At 43.1% G+C, this 11,204-nt stretch overlaps 1 annotated feature.

Annotated features, from left to right (window-relative positions):
• Window positions 4,500-4,713: a silencer, noted in NCBI's record as "fragment chr3:66663707-66663920 (GRCh37/hg19 assembly coordinates)". NCBI's record gives its function as "represses an EF-1alpha promoter that drives an FKBP-Casp9 reporter gene in an ReSE screen in phorbol 12-myristate 13-acetate-treated (for megakaryocytic differentiation) K562 erythroleukemia cells {active_cell/tissue: K562(+PMA)}" and the evidence as "EXISTENCE:reporter gene assay evidence [ECO:0000049][PMID:32094911]".

The following is an 11,204-nucleotide window of genomic DNA, read 5'->3' on the forward strand; positions in this document are numbered from 1 at the left end:
CATCTCTTTGCTGCCTCAGAGCTTTCTCCAAAGACATGGAGAGCAGCTCCACCAGTGTCTTAGCCTGTTTTCTGCTGCTATAACAGAATACCATAGACTGGGTAATTTATGAAGGATATAAATTTCTTTGCCTCATGGTTCTGAAGGCTGGGAAGTCCAAGAGCATGGGACTGGCAAATGGTGAGGGCCTCTGTGCTGCATTACCTCATGGCAGAAGGCAGAAAGGCGAACAAGTGCATGAGATATCGGAAGGAAGACAAACTAATTCTTTAATCAGGAACCCACTCCTGTAATAACTCACTCACTTCTGCAATAATGGCATTAATCCATTAATGAGGGTATAGCCCTCATGACCTAATCACCTCTTAAAACTTTAAAATAGCAATTAAATTCCAACACGAGTTTGGGAGGGGACACTCAAACCATAGCATGTAGCTGTAACCCAGGAAGTGCAGGGCACTTAACTTCTTAGGGGCAACCTATAACCAACAGAGAATGTAAGCCCTGGTTGCTTCGCCTTTTAGTGGCACAATTTTTACGTATTTTTTATATGGTCCTTCTTAGATTTTCCAGCAATACTGATTTCTACTTGATCACCGTGGAAACCAGCCCATTATGCACTTTTATTGCCTTTTGCTTTTTCTTTTCATACTTTCCACCCCCTCATTTCTGATCACTGGAATCAACTCCCAAATAAACTACACTTGATACCAAGCTTTTGTCTCTGCTTTTGGGAGAATCTAAATTAAGTTACAATGTCAAATAATTTGGGGAAACACTATATGCTTGTTCTTCTCTCAGACATTCACGATACACACCAACACAGTCAAGGCTCTCAGTAGTCCTGTTGCAAACTAACCTGTCCATCCAGCTTTCTTCAGCTCAGGCTTTCCCAGACTTCACTGCCCGCGAACATTTTTTTATCCCTAACATCTTTCAAGGTACCCTGGAGTAGGTGTTCCATGAAATATGCTTTGAGAAATGTTGGCTGGTGTAGTCTCAAGGGTCTTGTCCCTTATTATTATTCTGGATGGATCCAGTAGCTTTAGCTGCCATTCCCTGGCATGGAGCCAACAGCCAAATAGAACTCTCTGGATGGGAGATTTCTCAGTGCCAGGGAGCAGGACCTTCAGACAAGGCCTCTCCAAAAGTGGGAAACCTTTTTTTTTTTTTTGAAAACCTTTTTTGAAAACCTTTTCTCTTAGAAAAAGGGCTCTTCCCCTTTTCTTCATGAGATGATCAGCCTCTGCGGGGGGCCAGGAATGTTTGGCTGGCTGGGCTGGGAGTGCAGCTGTGGGCATCCTGAGAAAAAGCTTCACTTTTGGATGACGCAGGAGCCTGGATGAGATGAACAGGAAATGTTTGCCAACCAGCCTGCCTGCCCGCACTCTCTTGCTAACAAGCAACCATGGGAGAATTTAACTGGCATGTGTCCAGGGAGGATAATTATTTCCTACAGTAGTATACAGAAGGGCACCTGGGAGACCCAGTGATTACAGGGGCAGGAGGATGTGCATGGAAGCCTGGGGCTTGGGGTCTGTGGCCTCCCAGTGGGGGCTGGTTGGTGGGAGTGAAGAGGGGTGACCAGCAGCCCATCCATCTTCCTTTCCCCCTCAAAGTCTCAAATTGAAGGAACAGTATTGGGGAGCTTGGATTTGGGGCATCGGGTTACACTTGAGGGAAATGCTTGAAAATGACATCGTTTTTAAAGAATGAAACCAGTGAAAATTATAACAATAATAATGGCGGTATCAATTTCTGAATTCTTTGTTGAAGAATGTACGCATACAGCCTTTTATCAAGTCTTTTATATTTGATGATTAGTCTGTGTTGGGACTTCTCAACCTCAGCACTTTTGACATTTTAGGCAGGATGAGTCTCTGCTGTGAGGGGCTGAACTCCGCACAGCAGGCCGCTTAGCAGCATCTCTGCTCTCTCCCCACCAAATGCCATTAGCACCTCTTTCCCCTCAATTGTGACAACCAAAAATATCTTCAGACATGACCAAATGTTCCTTGGGGGTGCAACACTGGTCACGGATGGGAGCCACTGGTCTATAATAAAGGGCAGTAGATTATAACGGTTAAAGCCTAGGTTTTGAGCCAGGTTTTTTGTTTTGTTTTGTTTTGTTTTGTTTTTTTGAGACGAAGTCTCACTGTTGCCCAGGCAGGAGTGCAGTGGCACAATCTTGGCTTACTGCAACCTCTGCCCCCTGGGTTCAAGTGATCCTCCAGCCTCAGCCTCCTCCCTGGTAGCTGGGACTACAGGCGTGCACCACCACACCCAGCTAAGTTTTGTATTTTTAGTAGAGACGGGGTTTCACTGTGTTGGGCTGGTCTCAAACTCCTCAGGCCTCCTTTGGGAGGCCACCTGCCTTGGCCTCCTGAAGTGTTGGGATTACAGGTGTGAGCCACCGCACCTGGCTTGAGTCAGGCTGTTTTGTCCAAATTCTGGTTCTACCACTTTTGTTGTGTGACCTTAGTCACACTATTTAACCTCTCTTGTGCCTCAGTTTTCTTACCTGTACAATGGAGATAATAATAGTATCTGCCTGATGGGGTTATGGTGAAGATTAAAAAGTTTAACATATATGTAAATAAATATTTTAAAGCGTTTAACACAGTCTGGCATATAGCAAGCTTTCAGTAGTGTAAACTCTTATTATTATCATAATCATCATGATTTTTTGTTTACTCTTTGCTCCTAGACTGTAAGCTCTCTGAGTGTAAAGACTAAGTCTTTTTATTTTTTAAACTATAATGTCTAGGCCAGGCGGGGTGGTTCATGCTTATAATCCCAGCGTTTGAGAGGCCAAGGCGGTCAGATAACTTGTGGTCAGGAGTTTGAGACCAGCCTGGCCAACATAGTGAAACCCCATCTCTACTGAAAATACAAAAATTAGCTGGGCGTGGTGGTGCACGCCTATAATCCCAGCTACTCAGGAGGCTGAGGCAGGAGAATTGCTTGAATCTGGGAGGCAGAGGTTGCAGTGAGTTGAGATTGTGCCACTGCACTCCAGCCTGGGCGACAGAGTGAGACTCTGTCTTAAAACAAAACAAAACAAAACAATAATGTCTAGCAGAGGTACTTAATAAACATTGAATTCAAGAAGAGAGGAAGGAAAGTAGGAAGAAAGGAAGAAGCTTAGCAATGGAACTTCCAGTGTCCAGATATGAGAGAGAAAGATTAAGAACCTTTCCCAGATTGCTGGCCTATGCACTGCAGTCTGAATCTAGGGCTCTCCCGGTTTCAGTCCACAACCTCAGGTGGAAGAGGGGGCAGGGGAGAGAAGCCACGCAAAACCCCAGGGGATGTGTAAAGGGGCCTAAATGCAAAACTTTAAGTAGGCATCCAGATGCATGGAGACGAGCTTGAAATTTCTTGGAGCTGGAGGTTGCAGGTGGGCTCTGTGCTAAGTAGAAATGATTGCTACAGCCTGGAAGAAGCAAGAAGCTAAGTAGGAACGTATGCTGTCTGCTTGTGCGCCAAGAAGGACTGAAGTATGGCTAAGAGTGTATTATTTACTCCTCCATTTACAAAACCCGTGAAGACCATCCATGAGCTTGGGGTAGAAGCCTTTAGATGGAGGGCTGAAGCAATGCAGTTGAAGGAGATAAGGCTTCAACTGACCACTCAGAGCAGGGTGGATCTTTAAGTGCTAGGATGCGGGAAGGCTCTAGAGCAGCATTGCCCAGTTGAACTTTCTGCAATAATGGAAATGTCTTGTATCTGTGTTGTCCAATATGGTAGCCACTAGCCACATGTAGCTACCAAGTATTTGAATTGTGGCTAGTGTGAAGGACTGAATTTTAAATTAAATTAAAGTAAAATTTAAATAGCTCACATGTGCCTAGTGACTACTGTATTGAACAACACAGGTCTAAAAGAAGCCATATGCCTTTAGGTCCCAGGCTCTCCAAGGACACACTGAGAGATGGTGGGCTCACTGCTCTCCTGGAAAATGATTAGGCATGAATCCCTATTACTTCTCACCCATATTCACGTGCCAGACAGGCTAACTGGTGCCCTGTTCCAGACCAACCGACCTACCTTCCTTCCTTCCTTCTTTTCTTTCTTTCTCTTTCTTTCCTTCCTTCCTTTCTCTCTTTCCTTCCTTCCTTTTCTTTCTTTCTCTTTCTCTTTCTTTCCTTCCTTTCTCTCTTTCTCTTTCCTTCCTTCCTTTTCTCTCTCTTTCTCTTTCTTTCCTTCCTTCCTTTCTCTCTCTCTTTCCTTCCTTCCTCCCTCCCTCCCTCTCTCCCTCCCTCTCTCCCTCCCTCTCTCTCTCTCCTTCCTTCCTTTCTTTCTTTCTTTCTTTCTTTCTTTCTTTCTTTCTTTCTTTCTTTCTTTCTTTCTTTCAGGGTCTCACTTTGTTGCCCAGGCTGGAGTGCAGTAGCATGATCATGGCTCACTGCAACCTCAACCTCCCAGTCTCCTGCCTCAGCCTGTCAAGTAGCTGGGACTACAGGCATATGCCACCATGCCTGGCTAACTTTAGTTTTTGTAGACACGGGGTCTCCCTATGTTTCCCAGGCTGGTCTTGAACTCCTGGGCTCAAGCAATCCTCCCACCTTGGCCTCCCAAAGCACCAGGATTACAGGCATGAGCCACTGAAACTGGCCCCATTCTACTTTCTTAGGCCACTAGTAACCTAGTGTGAGGGGAGGGTAAGAGAGAAACAGAGGCAACAACAACGATGATGGCAATTACTACATTACTGTTACTGACTACAATCAACAGCATTTGAGGAGAACTGAGTATGTGCCAAGTACTAAGCATTTCACATGGACCGTCACTCATTGGCTAAGTCCAGTCATTATTCTTGTCTTCAGACAGAGAAACTGAAGTACCCAGCCATTAAGAAATATGTGCAACAGTGCACTGTCAAGCTAGGATGCTACGTAATTAGAAATGAGGACTCTGGAATTAGGCTAACAACATTAGTGACTTAGAATCTTTTTGGAGAAGGGATCTATAAGAAAGTGTTAACACTGGCTACTTTTGCAAAGAAGGCCTAGGAGTTGACATGGGGGGTAGAAGAAATTTTTCCTTTTTCTGTATTTAAATCTTTCTGTATTATACGAAGCAAAAAAAAAAAAAAAAAAAAAAAAAAAAAAAAAAAAAGACCAGTGTGTACATAATATTTTAGTAAACGAAAAACTTATCAGGGCTCATCTTGTCATTGAGGGTATAGGCCTTTTAATTTTTATTGTTTTCTGTATTAGAGCAGCCAAATTAAGATGGAGAGAGCTCACTTTGTGCGTTTGGCCACAGTGGATCATGCTCAGTGCTCCTGGTGACTTTGTGGGTTTGCATTTTTTCCCTCTGAAGATGAGGCTCAGCGAGGAACCCAGGGCAGACAATCCCATTTATACCACAGCAGGTTCCTAGATGTTTTGACGTTGGATACAAGGTGATAAACTATCCTGGTTTGCCCAGGACTGACAGGTTTTCTAGGACATGACACTTCCAGTGCCCAAACTGGGAAAGTCCTGGGCAAACCTGGCGGAATTGCTGGTGCTGCTTGGAATGGGAAAAGGTGACACTCGATGGAGACTCCAACCCACACAGCTCCAGTAGCAAAAGAGCAGAGTCCTAGTAGGCTAGTACTCAGGTGGACAAGGGGATTGCCAAACCAAGGACATGCCTTATCTCCTCGGCATTGCTTGTTTTATACTTAGACTCTCAAAGACAGAGCAGACTGAGGAAATACCATCAACACCAGGCAGGGCTGCATGTGACTTTCAAGGGCCCAAGGACCTCACGTCTTCATAAGCCCCTTCCTTTATTTAAAAAAAAACTTAAAAATTACACTGAAGACTGCATTTGTATAAAGAGGAATATAATCCAGTCTGAATTTATTATTATAGATCTATTATTATTATGTTCATTTTTCTTCCTTTTTTTTTTTGAGACGAGGCCTCACTCGGTTATCCAGGCTGGAGTGCAGTAGTGTGATCATGGCTCACTGCAGCCTGAACCACCTGGACTCAGGTGATCCTCCTACCTCAGCCTCCCGAGTAGCTGGGACCACAAGTGCATGCCACCACACCCAGTTAATTTTTGAATTTTTTGGTAGAGATGGGGTTTCACTATGTTTCCCAGGCTGGTCTCAAACTCCTGGGCTCAAGCAATCTGCCCGCCTTGGCCTCCCGAAGTGCTAGGATTACAGGTGTGAGCTACCACACCCGGTCATTCTTCCAGTTTTAAAAGAAATTAAAATGAAAATGCTTTCATAAGCCTTTAAAAGTATCATGGGCCCTGGGCATTGTGTCTGCTGTACCTATAATGGGCAAGCTGGCTCTGGTTCCAAAGCTCGAAAGAGAGGCTGGGGAAAGAGGAAGTTTGGAAGCATCAAGGTTGGGGGTTCCTAACTTAGATAAACTTGCATGGGAAAAATGTTCTCAATTTTCTACAATCTCTAACTAGAATTAAACATTTCATTCCATTATGACTGTAGGCAAAAAAACCATAACTGCATTGACAGCACATGCTACTCGGTCACCAGTAGAAATGACTGGTATTTTCAGATCAGAGTGGTACATGTCTAAAACAGCATTTTTTCTCATCCTTTCTTCAAAATTATGGTAGTTATTAGACTGGCTGCTAGATCATGCTATAGGATGTATTACCAAAGAAGTTCATATGTTATTATAATTATGATTTTAAAATTTAAATACTGTGCTTTAATATAATTTTTTCTTTTATAGTTCTGTATATGTTGTTTTATGCATTTCAAAAGCTTCAAGGTTTTGAACTGAGAAGGGGTCCCCAGGCTTCAGCAGACTGGTGAAAAGTTCACACCCAGGAAATGGTGGAGAAAACCACACTAAGTGTCTAGAGTTCATAAATGGGGCCCTTCCCTTATTTTCATCCCTCCAAATGGTAAGGAGGAGATTCTTACACAGCTCTGCCCATCTGCAAGAAAAGCCCAGGATAGGGTTAAAGAATTGCTGGTAGAGCTTAAAGTTTCACCCCAGGTGTGCAGCCTAATAAGGTGCTAATTGGAAACCAGGTGAGCAGAGGGTGGAAGCCCAGATGCTTGCCTTGGGTGTTTTTTTCCTTGAGGCTTGGTTGTTGTCAGAACAGTATCAACCCTCTTCCGGGCGGAAACAGGCTGAGTGCCTCCCTCTGCCATGCTTCTTTGCAGAAAATTCCACTGTTGTGGTCCTAGGGTAGGCCTGGATTTTTAGTTTAATATGTCTCATTTACTTACATTTGTTCTTGAGCACTGAGCACTTCCTGTGTGCCACGCAGTTTGCTCAGTGCTTTAATGCATTATCTCATTCAGGCCTCACAACCACTCCACGGGGAAGGTATTCTTGTTATTTCTATATTTATATATGAGGCAATAGAGGGAGGCTCAATGCAACAAGTGATTTGCCTAAATCCACACAGGCAGCAAGTGGTGCGTTGGGATCTGAACTTGATCTCATTCTTCCAAAAGTCTCTTTCCCTTAAACTTTTGGTTTGCTTGTTGTTTTGTTTTCCTTTAACAGAACTTTTTTTTCTTGTAGTTTTAGTTGACATGTAATAATTGTACATCGTTAATGAGAAACTGAGTGACATTTTGACACATGTATACCATGTGTAATGATCAAATCAGTGTAGTTAGCAAATCCACCTCCTCAGTCATTTATCATTTCTCTGTGTTGTGAACATTCAGAATCCCCTCTCAGCTGGGCATGGTGGCTCACACCTGTAATCCCAGCACTTTGGGAGGCTGAGGCAGAAGGATCACTTGAGTCCAGGAGTTTGAGACCAGCCTGAGCAACATGGCGAAACCTCATCTCTGCCAAAAATACAAAAAATTACCTGGGTGTGGTGGCGTGCACCTGTAGTCCCAGCTACTCAGGAGACTGAGGTGGGAGGATTGCTTGAGCCTGGGAGGTCAAGGCTGCAGCGAGCCATGATCATGCCACTGCACTGCAGCCTGGGTGACAGAGTGAGACCCTTCTCAAACAAACAACCCCCCCATCCCCTCTTTTAGCTATTTGAGAATATACAGTAAATTATAGTTAACCACATTCACTCTATAGTGCTGTAGGACACCAGGACTCATTTCTCCTTCTAGTTGTAATTTTGTATCTGTTAACCCACCCTTCAACAGAACTCTTAATTTTAAGGATGTAGCACATCTCAGACACTTCAGCTGATAGGCAGTTATCACGAGCTTATAAAGAAGGGGCTTAATAGAAGATAAAATGTGACTACACCAACATGGTGGGGCCCTAGAATTCCAAGCCTCCTGGAGTGGAGGACGGTCTTCCTCCTCATACTCAAGCTTTGTTGCTCTGTGATAATCATAAAGGCTGACATTAAGCAGGTCTTATGTGTGTTTTGGTGGGGTGCTGAGGTGAAGAGAAAAAAACTATCCTCTTGAGGTAAAGGTCATGAAACTCCAACACATATATCCTTGAATTTTTAATTAAAAAGTTAAGAGAAAAAAAGTCACTTCTCTTTTCCCTGTTACTGCTTGGTTACATTCCAGTCTTCCACTTATGGAACTTTGAGAGAAGTAGCTGGTTTTAATGTGGGACACCATAGGTTGGGTGGGTTTGCCATCAGAATTGCTCTATGCTGGGTCTGGGGTCAGCTTCTCTCCATCTTATCTTCAACCACCCAGAAAGGTCAATGCTCAGATGCAACGACTCCTCAAGACACCTACCCTTTGTCACCATCTGTTTATATCCCAAGGAAAGATTTGATGTTGCAAAATCCTGAAATTTAGAGCAAGCAGAGCAAGGAACAATCCATTCCTTGTTTTAAATCAAGTTGTCATAATCCAAAGGCAAGCTCCAACTTTAATAACAAACACCCAGTGTTATGACATTTTACCTTTTCCAACTATTTATGTAGGCCCAAATATTGTGTTTAAATTTCAAACTATACAGTTAACATAAAACAGTCCACTTTCTTAAATACAGTAAAAATAAAGCTAGTGATGCCAATTTCGTTTCCCTTTTAGGCCTCATTCTTTAAATAGATCATTCATTCAACGAATGTCTGTTGAATGCTCAGTGTCAGACACCGTGCTTGGCACAGCATACCCCCAAATTAACCAGCATTAGTTCTTGTGCTCTGAGCACCATAGAGAAACAGGAAGAAAACAATGGCAGCCGCTCTTCAAATGACCTACGCTTTTCCATCTCCAATGTCCAAAGAAGTATCAGAGATGATCTGCATTTCCTTTTCAGTCCTCTCCAAGCCCTGTCCTCCCAAACCAAGTCATAATGAGATCTAAAAGCTGCAGGGTCTCAAACATCACGAGAGTAAAGCCCAAATCACATTTGGAGTATGGTTTTTCAGCAGTTTTATGAACTCAGGCTGTGAAATGCAGGAATGAAAGTGGTGGAGAAAACAGTATTTTTCAGTGACCCAAAGAAAGATGAAACGTATGATGCTCTGTGGACTTGGCATCCCTACTCCTCATCCCACTCTCAGATGGCAATTGGATTTTAACAAGGAGTAGGGTTTGTGGTTTGAGAAATACAGCATTTTTACTGCCTTGGGTCATATTTCAAATATTTGCAGCCGTTTAAAATAGCGTAATGTTATTTTTTCCCTTGTCTTCAAAACAAACCCAGCAAGCTTTTCTAAGTCATAATAACAAGCATAAAATTGGGACACTGGAAAACCCATGGGCAGGGCTTTGGAAAATCCATTCTCCCTCAGGACGGGTGTTTAGATTTGGTTGCAAAGGATCATTAGCTTCCTGGAGGCCCACCTGACCTTGAATGACTTTGGGACCCTGAAGGAAGGAGTAAGGACTCCACAGGCCACAGAATTGGGATGTCCCACCCAACTGCTCTTCAGTGCAATGATAGAAGTGTGCACAGAGGCTTTGGGACTTTCCTTTTAGCTAAGATGTCCTGTTCTGGAAATTGCTTTGAAAAAAAATCCAGAGACTCATATTTATTTAAGTGAGCAATTCCCAATACCCATTGGTTTGGAGTTCTGTCCTGTGAGCCACGCTATATGGGGCTTATCCCTGCCAAAGGGCCTCAGGTGGGGTCAAACATTGAAACAAAGAAGTGAACTGGCCTCAGATGCAAGGGTTCCCAGCTTTCCCTTTATTAGAAAAATGAAAGATAATCAATCTTTGCCGAGAAAGAAATACACACACACACACACACACACCCGTGTGTGTGTGTGTGTGTGTGTGTGTGTGTGTATATATATATATATATATATATATGTATATGCACACTTACGTACCAGACAATGATGTTTGGTCAACATGGACCACATGTATGGTGGTGGTCCCATAAGATTATAACACCATAATTTTGGTGTACCGTTTCTGTATTTAGATATATTCAGATACACAAATGCTTACCATTGTGTTACAGTTGCTTATAGTATTCAAGACAGTAGCATGATCTACAGGTTTGTAGCTAGGAGCAGTAGGCTATGCCATATAGCTTCAGTGTGTAGCAGGCTATACCGTCCAGGTTGGTGCCGTAAGTGCATCCTAGAATGTTCACACAATAGCAAAACTGCTTTGACCAAGACATATCCCTGTTGTTAAGCAATGCATGGATGTACATTAATCCGTGCATTAATATACAGTAAATATATAGTAATATAGTACACATAAAAGTTAATATTTCTTGAGCATCTCCTAGTCCATACCCCAATTAATCCTCATAACAATCCTATCAAATGTGTACTATTAGTATTCCAATTTCTTGATGGAGAAAACCGATGTGTAGGGGGATAAAGCAACTTGCCCAAGGTCACACAGCCAGGAGGCAGGGGAGCTGGGGTTTCCATCCTGGCAGCTGCCTGCGGAGAAGGAGAGAGTTCTACTGTGTGTTACCATTACGCACCCTGGCTTGTGAGGTCCAGATTTAGATACATTCATATTTCAGGTATCAGAACTTCTAAAAACCTGATGACGAAAGAAAGTGTTTGAGGACTTTCCTTTTGATTCTTATTATTAAAGAAAAGATAAATGCAATTCTCCAATTATATGGAAGATATGAGAAAACAAATCAAAGTGAATTAAAACACATTTTCCCAGGCCAGGCATGGGGGCTTCCACCTGTAATCCCAGCACTTTGGGAGGCTGAGGCTGGCGGATCACTTCAGGCCAGGAGTTCAAGACCAGCCTGGCCAATATGGCGAAAACCTGTTTCTACTAAATATTTTTAAAAAATAATAATAATTAGCTGGGCTTGGTGGCACATGCCTGTAATCCCAGC

Source organism: Homo sapiens, chromosome 3 (genome assembly GCF_000001405.40).
Source record: "Homo sapiens chromosome 3, GRCh38.p14 Primary Assembly".
Taxonomy (NCBI): domain Eukaryota; kingdom Metazoa; phylum Chordata; class Mammalia; order Primates; family Hominidae; genus Homo; species Homo sapiens.